This window comes from Homo sapiens, chromosome 13 (assembly GCF_000001405.40).
Source record: "Homo sapiens chromosome 13, GRCh38.p14 Primary Assembly".
Taxonomy (NCBI): Eukaryota; Metazoa; Chordata; class Mammalia; order Primates; family Hominidae; genus Homo; species Homo sapiens.
The window spans coordinates 49346763-49374494 of record NC_000013.11 but is presented as its reverse complement, the minus strand read 5'-3'; the positions used below and the strand labels follow the sequence as shown (position 1 = coordinate 49374494).

Below are 27732 nucleotides of genomic sequence, written 5' to 3'. Positions count from 1 at the left end.
ATAGACTTGTACATTTTTATCAAGTAAACTTTTATTCTCTGGAATCCTTGGAGAAAAGAAGTATCTTTCTGAACATTTGAATTTTCCATATAGCTGAAGATTAAGCCTTCAAATGCAGAGTTAAATTGATTACTCTTGTGGATTACTTTAATTTTTAAAATAAAATGTATTATATACTTGCCTTCCCTCCAGAATAAAATACTAGATATAATACGTTTTTAAACTGATGATTCAAAACTATTATGAAGATTTGTTATTGTGATAATAAGATAGGCAATTCTTAACTTTATTTATTCAATTGACGTGACACATACCTAGAACATAATTATAAGTGAATGTGATACTCCATAGATGCAGCCGTTATCCTTCTCTAGCCTGTAGAAAAATATATACTTCCTGGTTGAATGAATAAATGAATGAATGAAAAGGAGTGAAAGTTTAGTACAGTTCCATTTTAAGCATTCCAACTACATACAGTATTTTCAGGAAGGAGGCAGCCAGCATTCCTAGCATTATTAGCCTACTTATAGAAATGTACTATGTTATCTCTATGAACTGGAGGCATGGATGATCAGCCTGCAGGCAGCAACTCTCCTTCTCAAGCCTAAAGTATCTATGTAAGCTACTGACAGCTTGATAAAATTCCTTCTGACTTCAGACTTACTCCAGCGACACAGAACCCCCACCCCCATGTCTCTTGGTTCATGGCTTGCACTGGGACAGCCACTTCTGTGTTACCTTGAGTACGAGGACTGTGTTTGCCACACCTAGTGGCATGTTAATTTGTGAATTGTTTGAATGAATGTAGTAATGAGAATGAGATATCAAAGCAGAGGTAAAAGAATTGGACCAAAAGAAGGTATTGGGACATACCAGTGAGCCATTTTTCTGAAGGAATCAGTAAATTGTTTAGAAGATAATTCAAACTCTTTGGGGTGATGATTATATGATTTCAGTACGTGAATAGCCTCTCCTGGTGCTTCTTTGGATAGCAGAACAGTCATTTGACTGTAAAATTTCTGGTATGTTTTGATAACAGAAAGGAAAAATTATTATTTTAAGGATGGACTACAGCTTTTGCCAGATAACCTAGGAGAATGGCACATTCCTTACAGAGAAAAAAAGTGAATTTTTGTTTAGAAGATACCTTGATTGGCTTTTTTGTTAGTTTGAAAGGCTGAAGTCTCTAGGCAATGTCTGTAAGGAAAAGACTGAAAGAAAAAAGCTTAGATTTCCTTGGCAGAGAAAAGTAACAGAAATTTGAGAAATGCCCTCTTTGGCCAAGGTTGATAGGAGTAGGAAATAGAAGAAAGGAGAAAGGTTTGGAGGGAGGGAGAGAGAGGTATCCAGAACCATGACAAAAGGAAGATGTTCATGGAGAAAGATGATCAGGAAGACTGAGGAACCTTTCATAAAAGTGATCTGTAGACTTCAGCTTGAAGGTGTTTCTGCACTGTGCTGTGATTATCCTTTGTTCACCTTAAACCTTTGTAAAGGAACTTTGTACTAATAATACATGTTGAGGCCGGCGCAGTGGCTCATGCCTGTAATCCCAGCACTTTGGGAGGCCGAGGCGGGCGGATCACAAGGTCAGGAGATCGAGACCATCCTAGCTAACACGGTGAAACCTCATCTCTACTAAAAATATAAAAATTAGCCGGGCGTGGTGGCGGGCGCCTGTAGTCCCAGCTACTCTGGAGGGAGGCTGAGGCAGGAGAATGGCGTGAACCCAGGAGGCGGAGCTTGCAGTGAGCCGAGATTGCACCACTGAACTCCAGACTGGGCGACAGAGCGAGACTCCATCTCCAAACAAAACAAAAACAAAAACAACAACAAAAAACAAGTTGAGTGAAGAAGGGGTGGTTTTCTACACTTGGAGTAAACTGAGTGCTGAAAAAATAAGCAGTTGCAGGAAACAAGGCAATGAATGGGGGTTGAAGGGCGCTGGGAGCAGGGGTTTGGAACCCTGAGCTGACAGCAGTGATGGTGGCTGGCAGCACTGACTTAAACTGGATGGCAGGGACTGACTCAGGAATCTTTGACAAACCTACTTCTCTGTCAGGAATCTAGAGGAAAGTGGCCCACTGGGGTAGGGACAATACTGGAGGATCCGGCTATCATCATGTGAATAATGGCTAGTTAGGAGGTCGGCCTTTGGGTTAAATAAAAATCTCATTATGTAGCTATAAATTTTTATCTAATGCTTTAAGCCTTAAAATTGCAGACAGAAAAGAACCATTTCAGCACACTATTATGAGGTTCAAAAAATGATTTGTGGCTGAGTTTGCAAGGCTTCTGATTTTTATGGGCTCAGGATCAAACTCAGCTGTGTTTTTTGAGGTTTGGCTACTATTCAAGACACAGCTTTAGACTCTTTGATGTTTTGAAACACAACGTGATAAGAGATCAAAGGAGGGAAAATGTATTGCCTGTAAGGTCTGATACATTCATTTTAAAGGCAGGTGTGCCTTGCAAAACCAGGGTGGATGCAAAGTGAACTGTTCAGGCTGAATAAGCAGCTCAAAGAAGCAGAAAATTGTCTTCTATGGTAACTTAATCCCTAATGATTATTTCTCGCTACATTAAAAAAAATTAGCAAAACAGGCCCAGTGCAGTGGCTCACGCCTATAATCCCAGCACTTTGGGAGACTGAGGTGGGAGGATTGCTTGAGCCCAGGAGTTTGAGACCCCCCTGGGCAACATGGCAAAACCCTGTCTCTACAAAAAATAAAAAAAATTAGCAGAGTATGCCTGCCTGTGGTCCCAGCTACTCAGGAGGCTAAGGTGGAAGAATCACCTGGGCCCAGGTGGTTGAGGCTACAGTGAGCCAAGATTGTGCTACTGCACTCCAGCCTGGGTAATAGAATGAGACCCTGTCTCAAAAGAAAAAAAAATAGCAAAACAAACACTCCAGGATCAACTTTTCCACTTTTCATTAAGCCATTTTGTAGTCCTACATTTTGTAAATGTTTATCCTCTAATAATCTTTTTCTATTCCCTGGACCTGATTAAAGTGGCCCTTGGCCAGGCGTGGTGGCTTACGTCTGTAATCCCAGCATTTTGGGATACCTAAATTCAGGAGTTCGAGACCAGCCTCGCCAACGTGGCAAAACCCTATCTGTACTAAAAATACAAAAATTAGCCGTGGCCATGGTGGCATGCACCTGTAATCCTAGCTACTTGGGAGGCTGAGGCAGGAGAATCGCTTGAACCCAGGAGGAGGAGGTTGCAGTGAGCCAAGATCGCACCATTGCACTTCTGCCTGGGCAATAAGAGTGAAACTCCATCTCAAAAAAAAAAAAAAAGAAAGAAAAAGAAAAAGAAAAAAAAATGGCTCTTTACCTTTGGTTTTATTACTGTAAAAATATAACAGAAATCATAAAGCCTTAAAATACCAGCTTTAACTGTACATTATACATTTAACAATTTGAAATGCTTACTATGCGTGTCAGCCATTGATTTTATTTAATTATGTTTGGTCTTGATTTTATTTGATTGTGTATATATTTTGTGCCCCTCACTGGACAAATTAAAGAATTTACAATCTCAGGTAGGGAAATACTATGTCATAGAAAATGGCATTTTATGTTATCATTACCCTATTGCCCTAAAGCTTAATGAATATAAGCTTTAGAAGGCCTTTATCCTATAAAGGAATATAATTTATGGGTGATTAAAAATGGCATTTGGCATCAGGCTCTTAATTAGATGTGAAACCTGTTAATTGTTTGTAATAAAATTAAGACAGTGACCATTAGTTTGATCGTACCAGACATTTTAAGGAATGTAATCTGCATAAGGATGAAGACTGCTTGTGCTGTGTATAAAGTGTTGTGTCTGCCCACTCCCTCTGCTTTCTGGGGAATGCTCCCTCCTTCTCCACTCACATGGTTACCATGGGAACAACCATTTTGGGTGATATGACACCCTGGACAACACAAAGCTGAATGATCTGCAAGTGGATATCTGACCAAAAGAGGGCCAGAGGCTTTCTGCAGGAATTCTGGAACTAGAACTGAGACAGAACCCCAGTGTTTAGCCAGGTGCTAAAGATAGTAAATGCAGTTTTTCCATCAGTGGTCGTATTTTTCACTATGTGGCCTAAAGAAACAGAAGAAGCCAGCCTGCAGAGAAAATAGAATGACAAAGATATTGGGGCAGTGGGGGAGATAATCTCCCATATAAATTCCCACAGATGGATTTCATGTAATATATAAATTTAATATATTTAAATTTTTTTGAGAGCAACTTTGAGCTAGCTTGTAGTTTCATTCCCTATATCTTTCCCAATATCTATAAATTAGTCCAATTTGAATTTTAGTCCCCAGCAAGATCCCTCACTAATCCATTCAGTGGCTACCCCTCACCCGGTAGACTGTTCTGCCTATCCACTTCTGCTACTGAAATTCAGCACAACCACTTGCTCCCACCCACCTCAACTCCCCCGCAACACACCAGCAAGAATAGAGAAGTCCCTGACTTCACTGGCTATAATTTTCATTTTTAAAAATTATGATACAATTTATAAATAGTAACATTCACCCTTTTTAGTGCACAGTTCTGTAATGAAGAACAACAGTTCCATCACCCTAAAAAATTCTCCTATGCCGGCTGGGCACGGTGGCTCACGCCTGTAATCCCAGCACTTTGGGAGGCCGAAGTGGGCAGATCATGAGGTCAGGAGCCCGAGACCATCCTGGCCAACATGGTGAAACCCTGTCTCTACTAAAAATACAAAAATTAGCCGGGTGTGGTGGTGTGCACCTGTAGTCTCAGCTACTCGGGAGGTTGAGGCAGGAGAATCACTTGAACCTGGCAGGTGGAGGTTGCAGTGAGTCGAGATTATGCCACTGCACTTCAGCCTGGGTGACAGAGCAAGACTTTGTCTCAAAAAAAAAAAAAAATCTCCTTTGCCTCTTTGTAATCATCTCCTTTTCCTGTCCTCGGCCTCTGGCAACCATTGATCAGTTTTCAGTCCTTATATTTTCACCATTGCAAAAAGATTGGGTAAACAGAATCATATATATGTAGCCTTTTGAGCCTGGCTTCTGTCAGCATAACGCATTTGAGATTCATCCATGTCGTTGCCATGTATTAGGAGTCTGTTGCTTTTTATTGCTGAGTAGTAGTCCATTGCATGGATGGACCACAGATCATTTATCCATTCCCCACTTGTGGGATATTTTACATATTTCCAGTTTCTAGCAATTACAAATAAAGCTGCCGTTAACCATTTATGTATAGTATTTAGTGTGAACATAGGTTTTCCTTTCACTTAGATAAATACCTAGGAGTAGGGCTGTTGGGGAATGTCAACTTTTTGTTTTGTTTTATTGTTTTAGCCATTCTAATAAGGGTTTGTGATATCTCATTGTGATTTTAATTTGGATTTCTCTAATGACTAATGATGTTGAGCATCTTTTCATGTACATTTTTGCTACCATATCTCTTCTTTTATGAAGTATTTATTCATATCTTTTGCCCCTTTTTAATTTCGTTGCTGAATTTTGAGAATTCTTTATATATATTCTATATAAAAGTCAATGGCTTGTGTTTTGAAGTGGGTGTTTTCTAGTCTCCGCCTTCTTTTCTCATTTCCCTTTTCTCATCTATGCTATCTGTGAGGGATGCTCTTTTTCAGCAATCATTCTGGTTGCTGTGACTGCTGTTCACCACCTCTTTCTTCCCTCCTTTTCTCTTTTCTTATTTGATTTGAGTTAATACTTCCATATATATAATTCATTCATTCAGCAAATAATTATGGAGCATTTCATGTTAAAGCTGACTTTTTTGAATTTGCCAGCAAACACAAGGGCTTCTTCAGGTTTGGGATCTTATTGGTTACATTGTATGTAACCTTAGAATTGCCAGCTAATTTTTGGCATTTTGGGCCATTTCTGGATGTTGCTTCTTTATTATCAAATATATTTTTAGGGTTTTTCTGTCTTTTTTTTCTGGCCACTTCTGAGTCCAGGGCTTGAGATCTGGCAGCCTGCGGGTTGCAAAAAACTGGTTTTGAAATAGTTAAGGTTTCACTCCAGTTAGATTTGGCATGACAAATTGATAGCTACAAAGATTAACGTGTAATGTAGAGATCATTATTCACCAGCTTGTACCTGTTTCAGTGTTCTGTAATCCTTTCTATTCTAATCCTTTCCTCTGTTTTGGGAAGCGGTCCCTGGTAGCAGAACCTGCTTTTGTTATCCACAGGGGGCTTCCTTTGCCTTTGCACACATTTGCTAATGAACTAGAAGAATGTTTTCCTCTATGTAAAAGTTGGATAGAGTTCTGCAGAGCTTCATTTCTACTGGAATGCTGTATGGAATGTTCTTGTGACATTTCACTGGGAAGTATGAAAAACATGTTCCTATGACATTTCAAAGAGGGTTGATATTTATTCTGCAATATTACACTGCAGGGTCTAGAAAGGTTTGAACGAAACAGATGATTTCTTTCATTTTAAAATCAATTTATGCTTACAGCTATATCTTTTTTTATACAGCAAATATAGTCTTTAACATCAGTATAAATAAAATTTATGTAATTCAACCTTTTTTTTTTTTTGAGACAGGGTCTCACGCTGTCACCCAGGCTAGAGTGCAGTGGCATGATCTCAGCTTATTGCAACCTACACCTTCCACCTACACCTTCTAGGCTCAAGTGATCCTCCCACATAAGCCTCCCAAATAGCTGAGACTATAGGCATGTGCCACTACACCCAGCTAATTTTTGTATTTTTTTGTAGAGATGGGGTTTCACCATGTTGCCCAGACTGGTCTCAAACTCCTGGGTTCAACTGAGCCTCCAGGCTTGGCCTCTCAAAGTGCTAGAATTACAGGCATGAGCCACCGTGCCCGGCCTATAAACATTTTTTAGTGTTTTAAAATTATGAGAGCAACTGATTTTGGAGTATTCTTTTAAATTGAAGATTCACCTACTAATTGGTTTTTGTGTGAACATAGTTTTCATTTCTCTGTGATAGATGCCAAGAGCGCAATTGCTGTTATGGTTAGCTGCATGTTTAGCTGTTTCAGGAACTGCTAAAGTGTTTTCCAGATTGGCTATACTGTTTTACATTTCCACTACAATGTATGAGTACAGTTTCTCTTCATTCTTGCCAGCATTTGATGTTGTTGCTATTTTTTATTTTAGCCATTCTGATAGGCATGTAATAATATTTCATTGTGGTTTTGATTTTCATTTCCCTAATGGCTAACAATGTTGAACGTCTTTTATGTGCTTGTTGCCATCTGTATATCCTCTTTGGTAAAATGTGTCTTCATGTCTTTTAGCCATTTTCTCTGTTTTGTTTATTTTTATTTTATTTTTTAAGTAGAGATGGGGTCTTGCTATGTTGCCCAGGCTACTCTCAAACTCCTGGCTCAAGTAATCCTGCTTCAGCTTTCCAAAGTAATTTCTTGCCTGGGATTATAGGCATGAGCCACCCCACCCAGCCTTTTATCCATTTTCTAATTAGATTGCTTGTTTGTTTGAGGCAGGATCTTGGTCTGTTGCCCAGGCTGGAATTCAGTGGCACAATCTCAGCTCATTCCAGGGCTCAAGCAATTCTTGTGTCTCAGCTTCCCGAGTAGCTGGGATTACAGGCATGCACCACCACGCCCAGCTAATTTTTGTATTTTTAGTAGAGACAAGGTTTCACCACGTTGGTCAGGCTGGTCTCGAACTCCTGACCTCTGGTGATCTGCCTGCCTTAGCTTCCTAAAGTGCTGGGATTACATGTGTGAGCCACCATGCCTGGCAGATTGTTTGTTTTTCATACTATTAAGTTTTTTGGGCTTTGATGGGGGGTTGGGTTTTGGAGGGAGGGTGTTTGGAGAGCATGGGTTTTTTTTTTTTTTTTTTTTTTTAGACAGAGTTTCGCTCTTGTTGCCCAGGCTGGAGTGCAATGGCACGATGTCAGCTCACTGCAGCCTCTGCCTCCTGGGTTGAAGCGATTCCCCTGCCTCAGCCTCCTGAGTAGCTGGGATTATAGGTGCGTGCCACCAAGCCTAGCTAATTTTTGTATTTTTAGTAGAGACGGGGTTTCACCATCTTGGCCATGCTGGTCTCAAACTCCTGACCTCGTGAGAGCATGGGTTTTTATTTATTTCTTTTTTCTCTTTTTTTCTTTTTAATTTTTGTGGGTACATAGTAGGTAGTGTATATGAGATATTTTAGTACAGGCATGTAATGTGTAATAACCACATCATGGAAAATTGGGTATCCATCCTCTCAAGCATTTATCCTTGGTGTTACTAGATCTTATTCATTGTTTCTATTGTTTTTTGTACCCATTAACCATCCCCATCTCACCCTGACACACTCCCCTGCTACCCTTCCTAGCCTCTGGTAACCATGCTTCTATTCTTGATTTTCATGAGTTCACTTGTTTTAATTTTTAGATCCCACAAATAACTGAGAACATCTGATGTTTGTCTTTCTATGCCTGGTTTATTTCACTTAACATAATGGCCTCCAGTTCCATCCATGTTGTTGCAATGACAGAATCTCATTCCTTTTTATGACTGAATAGTACTTTATTGTGTATAGGGTACCACATTTTCTTTATCCGCATTTTCTCATCTGTTTTTGGACATTTAGGTTGTTTCCAAATCTTGGCTATTGTGAACAATACTGCAACATATATGGGAGTGTAGATATCTCTTTGATATACTGATTTCCTTTCTTTTGGGCATATACCTAAGAGTAGGATTGCTAAATCATATGGTATCTCTATTTGTAGTTTTTTGAGGAACCTCCAAATTATTCTCCATAGTAGTTGTACTAATTTACATTCCTACCAACAGCATATGAGGGGTTCCTTTTCCCCACATCCTCACCAGCAATAGTTGTTACCTGACGTTTACATGAAAGGCATTTTAACTGTCGTGAGAGGATATCTCGTTGTAGTTTTGATTTGCATTTCTCTGATAATCAGTGATGTTGAGCACCTTTTCATAGAAGGCCTGTGTTCTGTAGGTTTTCTCTTCACTTTGTTGATTGTACCCTTCACTGTGCAGAAGCTTTTCAATTTGATGTGGTCCCATTTGTCCATTTTTGCTTTGATTGCCTGTGCTTGTGGGGTTTTGCTCAAGAAGTTTCTGCCCAGACCAATGTCCTGGAGAGTTTCCCCAATATTTTCTTTTAGTAGCTTCATAGTTTCATAGATCTTAGATATAAGTCTTTAATCCATTTTGATTTGATTTCTGTATGTGACAAGAGATAGGGGTCTAATTTCATTCTTCTGCATGTGGATATTCAGTTTTCTCTGCACTATTTGTTGAAGACTGTCTTTTCCCCTCAATGTATGTTCTCAGCACCTTTGTAAAAAATGAGTTCACTGTAGGTGTGTAGATTTGTTTCTGGATTCTTTGTTCTGTTCCATTGGTCTGTGTGTCTATTTTTATGCCAGTATCATGCTGTTTTGGTTACTATATAGCTCTGTAGTATAATTCAAAGTCAAGTCATGTGATTTCTTCAGTTTTGTTCTTTTTGCTCATGATGGTTTTGGCTATTCTGGGTTTTTTGTGGTTCCATGTAAATTTTAGGATGGTTTTTTCTATTTCGATGAAGAATGTCATTGGTATTTTGATAGGGATTGCATTGAACCTGTAGATTACGTTGGGTAGTATGAACATTTTAACAATATTGTTTCTTTCAATCCATGGACACGGAATATCTTTCCTTTTTTGCATGTCCTTTTTAATTTCTTTCATCCATTTTTTTATAGTTTTCATTATGGAGATTTTTTTACTTCTTTGGTTAAGTTAATTTCTAGGTATTTAATTTTATTTGTTGCTATTATAAATGGGATTTCTTTTTTGATTTCTTCTTCAGATTGTTCACTGTTAGCATATAGAAATGCTACTGATTTTTGTATGTTGATTTTTGTATCCTGCAACTTTATTGAATTTGTTCATCAATTCTAATAGTTTTTTTGTGGAGTCTTTAGTTTTTTCCAAATATAAGGTTTTATCATCTGCAAACAAGGATAATTTGACTTCTTCCCTACCAATTTGGATGCCCTTCATTTCATTCTCTTGTTTGATTGCTCTGGCTAAGACTTCCAATATTATGTTGAATAACAGTGGTAAAAGTTGTCATGCTCCAAATCTAAGATCTGCTACTGTTGTATTGGGATCTGTCTCTCACTTTAGCTCTAATAATATTTGCCCTTCATTTCATTCTCTTGTTTGATTGCTCTAGCTAAGACTTCCAATATTATGTTGAGTAACAGTGGTAAAAGTTATCATGTCCCAGGTCTAAGATCTGCTATTGTTGTATTGGGATGTGTCTCTCACTTTAGCTCTAATAATATTTGCTTTACATATCTGGGTGCTCTAGTGTTTGGTGCATATATATTTACAATTGTTAAATCCTCTTGCTGAACTGACTCCTTTATTATTATATAATGACTTTCTTTGTCTCCTCTTACAGTTTTTGTCTTGAAATCTGTTTTGTCTGATGTAAGTATAGCTACTCCTGCTTGGTTTTGTTTGTTTGTTTTCATTAGCATGGAATATCTTTTTCCATGTCTTTATTTTCAGTCCATGTGTATCTTCATAGGTGAGATGTGTTTCTTGTAGGCAGCAGATCATTTGGGTCTTGTTTTTTTTTCATCCATTCAGCCATTCTGTGTCTTTTTTCTTTTTCTTTTCTTTTTTTTTTTTTTGAGACAGGGTCTCACTCTGTCATCCAGGCTGGAGTGTAGTAGCACAATCACAGCTCACTGAACCATTGACCTCCTGGGCTCAGGTGATCCTTACACCTCAGCCTCCCAAGTAGCCACTTTATGTCTTTTGATTGCAGACTTTAGTCCATTTACATACAATGTTATTATTGACAAGTGGGGGCTTACTCCTGCCATTTTGTTATTTGTTTTCTGGTTGTTTTTTAGTCATCTCTTCCTTCTTCTCTTCCTTTCTATCTTCCTTTTAATGAATGTGATTTTCTCTGGCACTATGCTTTAATTTCTTGTTTTTTATTTTTTTGTGTATCCATTGTATTTTTATATTTGAGGTTACCATGAGGCATGCGTATACCATCTTATAGCCCATTGTTTTAAATTGATGACAACTTAATACTAATTACATAAAGAAATGCACAGAAAGAAAACTAATAAGAACTCTACACCTTAACTTCCTCCCCCTGCTTTTTAACTTTTCGTTGTTTCTCTTTATGTCTTATTGTACTGTTTATATCTTGAAAAGTTGTTATTATTTTTGGTTGGTTCATCATTTAGTCTTTCTCCTTAAGACAAGAGTAGTTTACACACCACCATTACAGTATTATACTATTCTGTGTTTTTCTATGTGCTTCCTGTTTCCAGTGGATTTTATACCTTAAGATGATTTCTTCTTGCTCATTAACATCCTTTTCTTTCAGGTTGGAGAACTACCCTTAGCATTTCTTGTAGGATGGGTCTAGTATTGATCAAATCCCTCAGCTTTTGTTTGTCTGGGAAAGTCTTTAATTCTCCTTCATGCCTGAAGGGTATTTTTGCCAGATATACTAGGGTAAAAGATTTGTTTCCTTCAGCACATTAAATATGTCATGCCACTCTCTCCTGGCCTGTAAGGTTTCCACTGAAAAGTCTGCTGCCAGATATATTGCAGCTCCATTGTATGTTATTTGTTTCTTTTCACCTGCTGCTTTTAGGATTTTTTTTTCTTTGATGTTGGGAGTTTGATTATTAAATGCTTTGAAGTAGTCTTCTTTGGTTTAAATCTGCTTGGTGTTCTATAACCTTCTTATACTTGAATATTCATATCTTTCTCTAGGTTTGGGAAGTTCTCGGATATTATCTCTTAGAGTAAGTTTTCTACCCCTATCTCTTTTTCTACCTCCTCTTTAAGGTCAGTAAGTCTTAGATTTGCCCTTTCTAGACTATTTCCTAGATCTCGTAGGCATTCTTCATTGTTTTTTATTCTTTTTTCTTTTGTCTCCTCTAACTGCATGTTTTCAAATAGCCTGTCTGCAAGCTCACTAATTCTTTCTTCTACTTGATCAGTTCTGTTAAGAGGCTCTGATGCATTCTTCAGCATGTCAATTGCATTTTCAACTCTAGAATTTCTACCTGATTATTTTTAATTATTTCAATCTGTATTAAATTTATGATAGAATTCTGAATTCTTTCTCTGTGTTATTTTGAATTTCTTTGATTTTCCTCAAAATAGTGATTTTGAATTCTCTGTCTGAAAGGTCATATATCTCTATTGTCCCAGGATTGGTCCCTGGTGTCTTATTTAGTTCAGTTGTTGAGGTCATGTTTTCTTGGATGGTGTTAGTGCTTGTAGATATTTATCAGTATCTGACAGGACAGTGAGATCTAGGCAATCTCAATAATCCTTAATTTCCTTATTTATAATATGTATATATACATATTTACATTTGTACATTTTATAAAACATATATTATACATCCTTAATTTCTTTTTTATAATATGTATATTATAAGGTGGTTGTATGCATGCCAGAAAAAAAATAACAAAAAGAATATGAAATTTAAAAAAATAAGGTTGTTGTGAAAATTGGATAATACCTGTAAAGCTCTTAGCATAAGTGCCTGGCACAGAGTAAGCACTCAGTAAGTATTTGCTGCTGTGAAGGTGGAGGTAGAGGTAGTGGGAAAGAGGAGGTACTGATCGATGTGGCAAAGGACATGGTTGTAGTACAGAGAGGGGCACTCATCCCAGGGGAGAAAACTCCTGAACTGAATCTTAAAGAATGACAGAGTTCATGAAAAAAGGAAGAGCATCAACAAAGATATAGAACCATAAAATGTTGTGTATATGTGGTGCAGCAATTTGGTACTAATAGAACTTGATGTAGGAATTGGAAGTGATAGTTAGCTGATGAGACTGGAAAAGTTGGCTGCTGTCAAGTCATTGAAGGGTATTGGACTTTCTCTCTTTCTTTCTTTCTTTCTTTCTTTTCTTTCTCTTTCTCTCTCTTTTTTTCTGTCTCTCTCTCTCTCTTTCCTTTCTTTCTGTCTCTTTTTTTTTTTTTTTTTTTTTTTGAGATGAAGTCTTGCTCCATTGCCTGGGCTGGAGTGCAGTGGCACGATCTCGGTTCACTGCAACCTCTGCCTCCCGGGTTCAAGCAATTCTTCTACCTCAGCCTCCCAAGTAGCTGGGACTACAGGTGCACACCACCACAGCCGGTTAATTTTTGTATTTTTACTAGAGATGGGGTTTCACCATATTGGCCAGGCTAGTCTTGAACTCCTGACCTCTTGATCTGCCCCACTTGGCCTCCCAAAGTGCTGGGATTACAGGCGTGAGCCACTGCGCCTGGCCTTTTTGTATTGGACTTTTTTCTAAGCAAAAGGGAGACGTTGAAGTGTTTAAGGAGAGAGATGGCATGGTCATATTTGCATTTCTAGCTAGCTCACTCTGCAGGGTGAGGATGCTTTGAAGTGGAGACAGTAACTGAAGCAAGCTCTTTCATAGTTTAGTTGAGAGATGAAGGCCAGAACTAGGGCCATACTGATTGAGAATGCAATGTCATTGTATTAGTATGTTCTCACACTGCTATAAGGAAATACTTGAGACTGAGTAATTTAAAAAGGAAAGGGGTTTAATTGAGTCACAGTTCCACATTGCTGGGGAGGCCTCAGGAAACTTACAATCATGGCGGAAGGGGAAGCAGGCACAGACCTTCACATGGCAGCAGGAGAAGGAAGAGTGAATGAGCAAAGGGGAAAGAGTCCCATATAAGACCATCAGATCGTGTGAGAACTGATTCACTATCATGAGAACAGCATGAGGGAAACCACCCCCATGATCCAATCACCTCGCACCAGGTCCTGCCCTCCACACATAGGGATTATAGGGATTACAATTCGTAATGAGATCTGGGTGAGGACACAGAGCCAAACCATATCAGTCATTCTTGTACTTATTTTTCATATAGTAAACTCAGGTCCAGTCCAAGATTTCTTTTGGAAAACCAGGCTAGACAGGTTGTAAGGTGTATGAGAGTGCAGGTCTTGTCCATGAGGACTCTAAGAAGCCCTATCCATGATTGCATATCTGGTTCCTCTGTCTCACTGATTCGGTGATCTCTTCTGTTCCTCTAGGCTAGATGTGATTTGTTATGATCACCTAGATCAAATATTTCCAGCTAATGGAAAACCCACTTTATTTTTTAAGTCAAGGCACTAGGGTGAAGAACAGTGAATAAAGTGATAACGTGAAAGCAAAAAATACTAGAAAGTAGATCTAAGAAAAAGGAATTTGGTTCTAACCTACATTTTACTAAAATCTTATTTTCTTCTTCTGTTTTCCTTCCTTATTCATGAAGGTTTAAAAATGATAATCATAATTTTTTTCTTGCATAAAGGTAGACAGTGAAAAAACAAAGAATTCAGTTCTGTCATATTCACTTTATGTCCTTCCATGCTCTGTGGGAAATGGATTTCTCGTTGGTCAAATTTCCCCCAGCACACATCCTGTGGCAAGGAGCTGCATCCATTTTGTAGACTGTGTTTGCAAGCACAGCTTGTTAGGGGTCTATGGGAAGAGTAAGTTAACGTTTTTTTGCATATTAGAAAGGATGGTACCATTTCTGTCTGTGTGTATATATATATGTATATATTCCACATACTATACAATTCATCCATTTAGAGTGTACAATTTAATTTCTGTTTGTTTCTTTAACAGGGAAAAAAAGATGTGACCCAGATATTTAACAACATCTTGAGAAGACAGATAGGCACTCGGAGTCCTACTGTGGAGTATATTAGTGCTCATCCTCATATCCTGTTTATGCTCCTCAAAGGGTAGGTACATGGCTTCCTTTCAAGTAGGGCTAAGTTTTTAATAGTTGTTAAAAGTGCATAGCATTAGTCTCATTTGAGATATGATGAGTTCCCTTTTGGAACTGCAGTAAAGGTATTTGTCATGTGTGAGGTCAGCCCTCCAGATCTGTCTCTATGATTACTGCAGCAAAATCCTTTCTTTGCACCTTAATGTTTCTAAATGTTATGTTTCCATTTACTGCCTTCCTTTCCTCCACATTTCTGCTATTTCTGTCTCTTCCTATTACAGTATTGCTTATGCTTCCCTATCTGCCCTATTCCTAGCTGCCCACTTACCCTTTTCCTGCTTGCATGAGATTGAATGCCCTCACCACGCACATAAGCACACACATATATATTCTGGTTCTGGGAAATGAAATACAGGTATGAGAGTTTTTCCAGTAGCTAGCATCTGCCAAGGTGAATGTATATGGGTCTATAGGGAAGCCATAAAACTGAAGTCGAGGTGGGTGATAGAATCCCTGATTATTATTTTTATGTATACTTATTTATAAATGTTTCTTGGGCATTTGGAGGCTACTCTGAATCATAAAGACTGGAGATCTAGGTGTAGCAAAGCTTGAGGACAGCAGACCATCTTCTTCCTCCCCTTGTCTTTCTACTCCACCATCTCAAACCAGGACGTCTCTTTATTTTATTGTATTCCTGTTTTCAATTCTGCTGTTTCATACCTAGTCCATCTCACCTGTGTTCATTTTCTCTCTTGTACATTTTAAATATTTAATTGTATCAAAATAATACATAGTTTAAAAATCAGATATATCAATAAATAGCAGTTCTTTGTCTCTTTTTTCTTTTCTTTCTTTCTTTTTTTTGAGACAGCGTCTTGCTCTATTGTCCAGGCTGGAGTACAGTGATGCGATCTTGGCTCACTGCAACCTCTGCCTCCTGGGTTCAAGCAGTTCTCCTGCCTCAGCCTCCCGGGTAGCTGGGATTACAGGTGCCCATCACCACGCATGGCTAATTTTTGTATTTTTAGTAGAGACAGGTTTTCACTATTTGGCCAGGCTGGTCTCGACCTCCTGACCTCAAGTGATCTGCCTGCCTCAGACTCCCAAAGTGCTGGAATTACAGGCGTGAGCCACTGCGCCTGGCCTCTTTGCCTCTTTCTTCTCTATTTTTCAGTCCTATTACCCAAAGACAACCACTTTTATCTCTTTTATTTGTTCATCATTGTTTTCATCATATATTTACCTCTGTGTTACAAATAATGGGCTTATACTAATTTTTCACTTATCAATTTTAAGCAGTATCTTTGACAAGATAAACTAGATGATAGTCTTTTTACTGCCACCATTATTCTATTTCCTTTCCCTTATCTTCCTAATAAACTTTATCATAATTTTAAATTTTAATAATCACATTTAGATTATTATGATTGCACAGTTATTATTCACTAGTGAGCAAAGTAGTGTACTATGATTACTTTTGTTTTGGGTACAAAATAATTGTTTTACTGGAGAATTGTTTCTTTCAGCTCTGGAAAGGGAAAGATCCTTGTATCATCTATTAGTTAGGGGATACAAAGCTTCTATAACACATAGACCCCAAAGTGAATTGGCTCCACAACAAGATAAGTATATTTCTCATGTAATAGTGCAGAGCAGATGTTCTAGTTCATCAGGGGGTTCTGTCATCTTCAGCATGTGCTATCTAAGATCACTTTGTTCATTGCCATTTCGGCCCACAGAAAGGTGAAAGTATATAAGAGATTTTATGTGTTTGGAGAATGACAAGAATTCTGGTGTGACTAGAGTTCTGTGTGAGTCAGAGGGAAGGGTGCCGTATGAAGTTGGAAATACTGAGACCAGATGATGAAGAGCTTTCCAAGTCCTACTAGGGAGTTTGAATGTCATTCTGTAGGCAACATGGAGTCATCCAGGGACTAGACATGAGGAGTTCTGGTGGCAACATAGAAAATAGCTTGGGGTGGGAGGCTGAGATTCCAGCTTGGAAGAGTCTGGGGAAGAGATTATCATCAGAACTTTAATGGAGATACTGAGAATGAAGAGAATGCGTATTTGAAAACATTTCCATTTCTTTCCAATTCAAAAGTAATACATGGTTATTATTTAAAAACTAAAACATTTTAGAAATGTAGAACAGAAAAAGAAAGTACATCCCATAATCTCTCCAAACGAAATCATTAGTGACAATTTGGGGACTACACCTCTGGTTTTAATTCTCTATTGCAATGATTATTCTTCTGTTTTTCAACCCAAACTTTTAACTCATTCCTTCACATCCTGTTTTGTATAAACCATTTACTCATTGTTTGCTATGTGCCAGCTGTTGTAATGTCTTTACTTATGTTATGTTGTTTACTTTCCAATACTATGAGGACTACATATTATTTTTTTACCATTTTACAGATGAGGAAACTGAAACTCAGAGAGAGTAAGGATATTGCTCAAGGTTATATGGCTAATACATGACAGAGCCTAGTTTTCCATGCAGATCTGACACTAAATCCCATGTTCCTTACCATTAATATACCTTTAAGAAGATTCGAGGACTGTTCAAATGTGAAGGGAGCGGGAATTGTTGATGCTCCTGAGGACAGGGTAGTGGAACAGTTGTACCATAATCAGTTTTACCTGTTACCATTTTCTTTTTTTTTTTTTTTGAGATGGAGTCTCGCTCTGTCGCCCAGGCTGGAGTGCAGTGGCGTGATCTCGGCTCACTGCAACCTCTCCCTCCCAGGTTCAAGCGATTCTCCTGCCTCAGCCTCCTGAGTAGCTGGGACTACAGGCCCATGCCACCACGCCTCACTAATTTTTTCTATTTTTAGTAGAGACGAGGTTTCACCATGTTAGCCAGATGGTCTTGTGATCTGCCTGCCTCGGCCTCCCAAAATGCTGGAATTACAGGCATGAGCTACCGCACCCAGCCCCTGTTACCATTTTCTAATTTAGCACTGAATGCTAGAGATTTAGCCCTTCTTAAAAGTCAGGATTTTTACCGAATTATCCTTGTGAAGTCACTTTAAAACCTAGGGCATAACTTGATTGGTACATTTACACATCAAACAATAATATAAATGAGAGTATGATAGTAACATTCTGTATAGAACCTAAGTCTAACCATAAAGAATATAAGACAAAAAGCAATTGATACTTGTGTATCAAAGAGAATTATCTGGATATGTGGTATTAAACATGGTAAAATGTATTTGGAGCCCAAGTTCTATGAAAAGATTATAAATAAGGACTTACTCACTCTAAATGAATTTGTCTTCTGGCTCAGGCAAATGACATTCCAGGGTACTGAGAGAACTTGAGAATGAGGTCACTGAACAGCTCTCAGTGATCCATAAAGAACTGTGGCCAGTGGACTATGTTCCAGAAGGCTGATGTTAAAATCATAAATTTCTCCCAATTATCCTGTTTTTTTAAGTTTATTATAAAAAATTTTAAGCAGTTTCATTTTGGCAGTTATTTTGTAGATGGTGCTATGTAGTTCATATTTCATCACATTAGGAGATGTACTTTTAGTAATGCTAAGACTGAGCAATGGGTTCAGTTGGTGACAGTCTAATCCACTATAAAGTTTCCCATCAACCTTAAACTTAATTGTTTTACCATCCATTGATGAACATTGCCTGATTCCGTCATTTTGCTAGAGGTGACAAAAAGGTAATTTTGAATTCTGTCATTCCTTTTGTATTTTTTATTGGCTAAAGTAGTTTTATAGAGAATACTGTCATTCACCCACCACAGCTTCAGGTGTTAGAATACTCTGAAGTATAATTCATACCAGAGAGGCAGAATAAATGCTCAATTCTTTTCTTTTAATTATCATTTTAGAGAAAAATAAGATATCCTAGGAACTTTCATCGGTGTCTAATGAGTTATTTCCCTCCCTCCCCCTGCCTTTATATATGTGTGTGTGTATAAATATATATATATATTTATATATGTACAGAGACACACACTCTTCTAGTATCTGATGAACTAATGGATTTAATGTTTTCTATATGTCTTATTTAGTTCTACACATGTTTTTTTAATGCTCAATTGGCCATCTGTGGCCCCTTCTAGGTGATATCTCTTAACATCACTAAAATAGTTTCTGAGAGCTTCTTTGCTTTCTGGTGTAACGAGATATGCCACCCAACTTGTACATTTGCTGACAAAGACCTGAAATTTCTACCAAGGATGTTGGTTCTTTTTAGAGAGAAATGGTTCTTAGAGACTACAATCTGGTTGCTAGGGGTGCTCATTGACATTGGATTGTTATTGCTTCTAGGCCTTTTTGGTGGACAGAACTAACTCATTATTTTATTTATTTATCGAGACAGGGTCTTGCTTTGTTGCCCATACTAGAAGGTAGTGCTGTGATCACAGCTCACTATAGTCTCAACCTCCTAGGCTCAAGTGATCCTCCTGACTCAGCCTCCCAAATAGCCGGGACTACAAGTGCATGCCACCACACTTAGCTAATTAATTTTTTTTTTTTTTTTGTAGAAACAGGGTCCCACTATGTTGCCCAGGCTGGTTTCAAACTCCTGGGCTCAAGCAATCCTCCTGCCTTGGCCTCCCAAAGTGCTGGGATTATATGCATGAGCCACTATGCCTGGCCTAACTCATTATTTTTAGTCAGCAAATGTTTCTAGATTAGAAACATACGTTCTTGACTATATTGAGGAGGCCAAGTGTTTGTTGAATGGCATTTTACAAAAGCTTTCCAGGTATTTCCTGGCCTTGTTTACTTCCAGCAATAATCACAAAAGTCATTTTCCCCCTTACATAATGTAATCTTTGTTCTTAAATTGAAATATTCTTGCACAAGATCATTCTTCTGACCATTTTCTGTGTAATGATTACTGTAGCTCACTGCCAGCTGAGACCATTGCTCTTACATTTTGGCTTTCATTAAATTTGAGAGAGACTTTTCATTATGCTGTCATTATTTGATGGGCATGCCTAGATAGTGCCTTCTCCACACTGACACAGTTCATTATAGTCCAGACTATATGATCTAAATTACAAATCAAGAGGGAAGATAAGATTCAGTTCTATAAAATAGTGATTCAGCATTCATCAGATTAACCTTTACTGGGGACCTGCCATGGGTTAGCCATTGTGGAAAATGCAGTAATTAGGCAGGATCCTTGCCATCAGGAAGCTTATCTATGAGTAGAATAGATTAGGTGGGATACATATTGATTCTTTAACAGACCTAAGGATATTAATGTTAGTGGGATTTGAAACTTAACCTAAGCTTATCTTTTGGAGCACTTCTTTAAATAGTAAGCAATAACCTATCAAAAGTCAATATACTAGAGGGTAGTCAGGTAGAAATGATCTATGTGAATTATAAATCACTTAAAGAGTACTGAGGAGAATTAGAATTCCCTATATATCTCTGTATATCCCTATGTATTTCTGAATTTAAGAAGTTGTAATCTCAGAATGACAGATGTCAAACTGCTGGGATGAAATGACAAGTGTGCTGACCCAGAGGAGTCTTGGTTTTTTAAAAACATTCTTTTGATTCTCAAGAATAAACTGTCAGTGCATCACAGATGGTTTCAATAAGCTTCACGAAATGAAAGGAAAAAGAGAACTAATTATACCCAAAAGTTAGAGTGGAAACTTTTTATAGATGGTCTTAGTTTGGAAATTGAATTAAGAAATGAGAAAATGTTGGCCAGAGATGATGCATATTTTGTATACGTCAGAGTTTGACTCTCATTAGAGTACTCTAGTATTAAGACATTTCTTCAGTTTGAGGTTCATTAAATTCATTATATGCATGCTTCGTGAAAAACATTATAATAGGCACTCTTCGGAGACTGGGGTAGGGACAGGAGAAAGTAGCAATAAATGACATAGACACCAAATGGAGATGGGGATAGGGGAGGAGAGGAGAAGGTAACAGGATAAGTAAAACATATCCCCAACAATTAAATTGATTGTAATGAAGAAAATAGACCTATAGCAATTTACTGCAGTATAACATAATACAGAATGAAAAAAGTGTTAAAGAGAAATTACAGACAAGCTGTTATTTGAGTGTGAAGGGCAGAAAGAATAATCCTGAATTGTAGTGATTAGGAAAGGCTTCAAGGAGGAGATGGCATTTGAACTAAGCCTTGAGAGATGAGAAGCATCTGAGTTGTGGGAATGTAAGAAGGGCATTCCAATTGAGGGAATGAGGGGCTCCAGGGAAATAACGAATGTGATGGGAGATGAAACTGAAAAGTTAAGGTTAGGGCCAAATTACAAAAATCCACATATATCTTGCTGATCAATAAGTCTGGATTTTAATTGTCCTTCCCTTAGATTCTTTCTCTAGGCCAACAGCCTTTATTTTATACTCTCTTGAGTACTCTATCAATAAATGACAGTGCTTTTCTCCTTTACATTTCAGAACATATACCCCTCTTTACAACATCTTTAATAAAACCCCACCTGACAACTGTTCCTTGTGAGCCAATAGGCTGAGTTTCAGGTTTTTCTAATAAGAGAAATTGCTAGCACTATAAATTGGCATTCCTTATATTCTACAAAGAATCATGACTATCTGAATGTATCAGCATTTAATGTTACTATGAGTTATTCAGGGAATACTCAATATTTGTGAATATCATTCTGCATAAACAGGACAAAAATGAATAAATACCACCCTGGTATCTTTGTTTGCTGTTTCTTCTACTAATATTTGTAAATTTGATATTGGAAAGTAGTCTATTTCCTCAATTGAATCTTTATTCTTGAATCTGTCTTTCATGAAAATTCTATAATCTTATAAAGAGTAGTACATTACTTATTGTTCAACAAATGTTGTTACTAGTAGTTGATGAGTAATAAAATATCTTAAAGTTTTATAGTATCATAAAAGTTCCATAAAAACTAGTATTCAGTTGAAATGGTCAATGATATCTCTTTAAAAATATGGTCAGATTTTATTTTATTTTATTTTTATTTTTGGAGACAGAGTCTCGCTTAACTTTCCAGGGTCAAGCAATCTCCCACCTCAGCCTCCTGAGTAGCTGGGACTACAGGCGTGTGCCACCATGTCCAGCTAATTTTTTTAGTTTTTGTAAAGTCAGGGTCTCAGCTAAATTTTTTATTTTTTTATTTTTTGTAAAGTCAGCCATGTTGCCCAGGCTGGTCTCGAACTCCTGAGCATAAGCAGTCCATCCACCTCAGCCTCCCAAAGTGCTGGGAGTACAGGAGTGAGCAGTCACGCCCCACCAGATTTTTTTTTTTGGAGGGGGCCCTATATTCTGCTCACTTCCCAGTGTATCACAACTATATCTTTCTTTGTTCTATTCTTCCTATATTTACCACACAATTGTCAACTGTATTATTTCAATACAGGGCTTGTTGTACTTGGGCTAAGCATTATTCATTTTCTTGAAATCTTATCACACACTGGAATATATCTTAAACTTACTTAGAGACTGAATTTGACTTTGAGAGATTGTTGTTGTATTAGAAATGGAACCAATCTGGTATGCCAGTCCTGAATTGTTTCCCACAGTAGACGTTTCGTTTGTCTAGCATATTTTTTGCTGTGAGCCATGATTCCACTTAGGATTTAAGTGAGTCAATCAGTCCACAGCTATGTATTAGCCACCTACTGCATGCAAATCATATATTTATATAGGTCTCTCCTATCTTTTTCCTAAAGTCCAGATAAGTGTATCATACTGCCAAGGAGACCTTTCTACTTAGATATCAGCCATCTCAAAACTAATGTGGTCAACCACAAACTCTTAATTTCTTTACTAACTTGTTCCTCTACTAGTTTATTCATCTTAATAAATAGCACCACCATCTACCCAGTGATTCAAGCCAAAAACATAGGAATCATTCGTGAATTCTCAGTTTCCAAATTTATTCCCTCACCCAACTCCAGCTACATCATCAGCAAGTCTTGTTGACTCTTCCTCCGAACAGTATCCACCACCTGCCCACAGTCCTCTGTTCTGCTCCTGCCACCCCAGGCCAAGCCCCCGTTCCCTCTCCTGGGTTCTGCTCCTGTTCTTATATGTCTCCTGCTGTTTTACAGACATTCTCAACAAGAAGCCAGAGTGATCTTTTTAAAGCATAAGTTAGTCTTGTCAATTTCTTGCTTTAAACTCTCCAAAGGCTTCCCATTACACTTAAAATAAAACCAACTGCTTACCTTGGCTGACAAAGCTGTATCTGATCTGGGATCTGGCCCCTGCCCTTCTCTCCACCCCTGCCTCATTTCACACCACTCACGGTTCTTCCTCTACAATCGAATCACACAGGCTTTATTCCTCCTTCTCTGTTTCGCCAAGCCTGTTCTTGCCATGGAGCCTTTGAACAGTTTTTTCCCTTTGCCTGGAACATTTTGCCTTTTCCTTGAGTCTAAAGTAAAGTAACTTAAGTAGTCACTCACACACACACACACACACACACACACACACACACAATTTAGTCACCTTTATAATGTGGCGTATTTTATTGTCAACAGTTTTTACAGCCCTTCTCAGTGTATGAAATTATCTTTTCATTGTTTACATTCTGCCTCATCCCCCCACCCCCAGCTGTCACCATGTTCATATTTGAGTATATCTAAGTGTTTCAGAATACACTCAAATTCCAGAATACGTCTGCAATAGTGCCAGGCACATAGTAGATCTTCAGTGGATATTGAATGAATCGTGACAAATGGTATGTATGCTTCCATTAATAGCAGTATTGAAATGGTTCTTTTGATGCCATTAATATTATTTTAATAGGATAACAGAGTTCTCTATTTCTCTCTTGTTTACGCTTTAGATATGAAGCCCCACAGATTGCCTTACGTTGTGGGATTATGCTGAGAGAATGTATTCGACATGAACCACTTGCCAAAATCATCCTCTTTTCTAATCAATTCAGAGATTTCTTTAAGTACGTGGAGTTGTCAACATTTGATATTGCTTCAGATGCCTTTGCTACTTTCAAGGTAATTTTTTTTTTCCAACTCAGCTAGGTCAATTTATAGTCACTTGGCCCCTGAAGAGGCAATTTAATTTTAAAAAGCAAGAAATTTTACTTCTTAGGCCTCAGTGTAGCCAACCATGTATGATGTGGATCATAAGAGGAATCTGTAAATAGAATGCAGTCTATGAGGCCAGTCTGTCCTATTGCAGGAAAACAACTCAAAATATTTGTCACAAGCTCAAATGGAGTGAATTCCAGTATATACAGTTACGTGGGAAAGGAATATGTAGTGCTCTGTGTGTGGCATGCTGTCATTTATGTTAAAAACAGATTAAAGGGCATAAGCTTCCACTTAAGGTACATATGCACTGAATACCTCTGCAAGGATGCATAGGAAACAGCAACAGTGATTAATTCTGGGGAAAGGAACTAGGTAGTGAAGGGAGATGGAGAATTACATCTTTGAATATGAAGGACATCATGTTATTTTATGAATGAAATTTTTAAATGTCCACATGGTGAAACAAAATAGTAAGAAATTATATTGTCGTTGTTTCATAATCATCTATAGTTTGATCATGTATTATCTACTTTGTCACTATGTAGGAAATCGTAGGATGCAATATATTCACATTGTTAGGCAACCAACTACCAGAACTTTTTTATTTTGAAAAATTCAAACTCTACCTCTATACTTATTAAATAATAACTCCCCATTTCCTCCTCCCTCCAGCCCCTGACAATCATTTTACTTTTGGTTTCTGTATTTTATCATCAAAAAAATGTTCAGAGAATATATCAGAAAAGAGTGCAGCTAATTTGCAGACAAACATACCAAAACTTAGTCATCTAATGAGTGATGTTACATTCGAGATTTCTATTTTAGAAAACCAGTTACTTAGGCTTATGATCCTGCTATTATTTAACATATTTTGAAGTTGGTATCAATGTGTATTACATGCTCATTTTTCAATAATGGCAAACTTTTATCATTCAAGGGCAGATAAAAGTTTTGGAAACAAAAGCCTATTTGACATTCCGGTTAGTGTATAAAGTGGGTGATCAAGTTAGCTAGAATTATTTGGGGAGGGATAATAATTATAAGAAAACTAATTTTAAGATATAAATAGAAATAAAATAGATATGATTTTCTTCAATGTCTACCAAATCAGCTCTGAAGCTGTTTGAGAAGAGGAATTCAAAAAATACTATAGACTGACAATGTAACAGCATCATTGAAAAAAATAGGTTTTCAGGTTTAAAAAGTAGGTAAGACTCATTTAAATGTATATATATATATATATATATATGTATTCAGATTCATTTCTTCAAAAGCATTTTAGCAATTTAATTGTTCTATTTACATAACTCCAAATTAATTTATACTTTTTTCAGGATATACGTATGTAACTTTTTTTTACAAGTTTTACTTAATTGTAATCCATGTATGAATTTTTATTTTTTATATATTACCTTAAATATGTATTTCAATAATATCGATATAGTCCATATACTAATATTAATACATACTCCAATCGTATTACTTTATGAACAGTGATTGAAAGTTGCCTATGACTTAGATGGTAAATAGTTCTTTTAAATAGCTCTCCAGAGGTGGAAAAAGGGGAAAGCAGTGGTTTGCTCTGCTGAAAACTACCTATTATCTGCAGACTAGGAAGTTACCCAGCCTGTTCTGAGAAGGTGCCATAAATCTGTTGAAAGGTATATTAGGTCACATGGTGACACAAAGTGTGAGAGAGTGTCAGAGAGTGGTAAAGGGTAGGAGATGTCAGTGGGGCAGAAGGAAGCTGGGACTTAGGGAGAAGAATGCCTGGCGGAGGGTGAGGGACGGGGCGTGGTCTCCCTGGAGGCGGAGCCTGCAGGCTGGGCCGTCAGAGAGATTTGTTGTGATGGAGAAGACCAAAGAGTGGTGGGTGGTTAAGCGGGAGGCAAGTCCTGGCAGCTGCCTGGCACACGATCTATAAAGGCAACCAGGCCATCTCTGGAAATACAGGATGCAAAGGAAAATTTAATTGACAAGAACTCTGGAGGGAGAATACTGTTTGAGAATGATGGGAATATTTGGAAGCCACTTGGGGTGGGCTGGGGGTGGATTCCAGGGCAGGCTTAAGCAACAGCAGCTGGTTGTTAACAGCTGCCTAGGAGCAGGGTAAGCCCAGTTAACTGCAGCACTTTTTGAGACAAGGTCTCACTCCCTCACCTAGGCTGGAGTGCAGTGGTGCAATCTCAGCTCATTGCAGCCTCAGCCTCCCAGGCTCAGGTGATCCTCCCACCTCAGCCTCCCAGGTAGCTGGGACCACGGGCGCATACCACCATGCTCGGCTAATTTTTGCATTTTTAGTAGAGAGGGGGTTTTGCCATGTTGGCCAGGCTGGTCTCGAACTCCTGACCTCAAGCCATCCGCCTGCCTTGGCCCCTGCAAAGTGCCAGGATTACAGGTGTGAGTCACTGCGCCCGGCCACTGTGGCACTTTTGTTGTCGTAAGCAGGAGGGTGTGCGGGTTTCGGACAAGCACTGAATTGCCCGAGACATCAGAGGAAAGGAACCGCAATGCCATCATTTCCCCAAAGCCTCAGGCAAAACTGCAACAAACACAAGGCCTCTAGCGTCCGGGTTTGAAGGGAAGGAGTTTGCAGCCTGCTCGGGTGTCCACAGGCCTCCATTCAGCCTGCCAGCGTCCTATGGTCTCCCTGAAGAAAACAGGGAAGAGAGGAGGAGCCCACAGGGGAGGTCTGGGTAGACAGAAAAGGGCAAGGAAAAGAAGGGGAAGGGAAGAAGGGGAGTTAACGAGAGGCGGAGTATGAAGAATGGGAAGCTTGGAGTAAGGAAACTGAAATCTCGGGAGAACAGCCGAGTGAGGGAAGGAAGGAAGGAAAAGAAGGAGGAAGGGCTTGGGAACAGACTCCTGGAAGTGACTGCTGGGTGAAGGGAGGGGCGGTGAGGGCAGCATGGCTCCGGGCTCCGAGTGTTGGAAATCCCAGGAGTGGCTGTTTCTCACCCCGGAAGACAAAAATTGTACAGCGGCTAGAGATGATCCCCTCAAAAGGTGGATCTAGAGCTAGTGGTGAGATAGGCCTCGGTTGCATCCAACATGAAGAATGACATTAAATACAAAGGATGATTCCATTTCTTTCTACCAAAATGTCTGTGTCTAAACTACTAAGGAGGTGTTTGCTAATAATAGACACTACAGTCCCATTTTTTTCCCCTTTCCTATCAGATGGCTCTTCGCTGTCATGGAAACAAGTAAATTCATTTTTTAAAAAAAAGTAAGCCTTCACATAATTACAAACATAGAACAAACGCCAATAGAGGAGGAAAGCAAATACTTAATATGTATTTCTGAAAATTTCCCCAAAGGTTTTTAAACATTTGATAGAATAAGATGTACTTGATAGTAATTTCTTGCTGTCATATATTCAGCCCAATTTAATTTTCAGCAACAATATTGAATGACAAAAATAAATGGTGTTTTGATTTGTATTTAAGCCAATTTTCCATTGAATTTAAGTCAATCCTTTAAAATCTAAATAATCATAAAAAGTTTTCTAGTATGCTGTCAGTTTTGGAAACACCAATTTTCTTTATTTTACCAAATGCTTATGGTTAATATAATGTAACAATGACCATAAATCACTTTTTTTTTTAAAGTAGCTGGTTTCAAAGGGTTTTGTTTGGTTGGATGATTGACTTGATTTTGGCATTGGTTTTGGGTTTTTTATAACCTCCTAATCTTTTTGGTTTTGAGCTCTTAAAGGGACTGTTGCTCAGTTTAGTTATTAATATTGTAACATTGTTAGTTTTTTATTTTGGCATAGATTTGTCTACCAAAAGTCTTTTCCCAAAAAGGATTCCATACAACCATAATCTCTTTCATCCCTCCCTCTAAAAATTCCCATAATAGAAGTGGTTTGAATTCTGTCTTTCTCTGCCACCTGATAAGCTGGATGTCCTTGAGCAATTTAGTTAACCTTTGAGTTTT

At 38.2% G+C, this 27732-nt stretch overlaps 1 protein-coding gene across 12 annotated transcripts in view; it reads left to right on the top strand.

Annotated features, from left to right (window-relative positions):
- The window catches only part of CAB39L (calcium binding protein 39 like), a 135415-nt gene that overhangs the window by 69570 nt on the left and 38113 nt on the right, over positions 1-27732 (top strand). For all 12 annotated transcript variants that reach the window (NM_001079670.3, NM_001287337.2, XM_047430698.1 and 9 more), the window contains 2 exons: positions 14663-14781; positions 23583-23751. In NM_001079670.3, coding sequence (NP_001073138.1) covers positions 14663-14781; positions 23583-23751 — 288 coding nt within the window. The remainder of the gene's footprint in view (positions 1-14662; positions 14782-23582; positions 23752-27732) is intronic.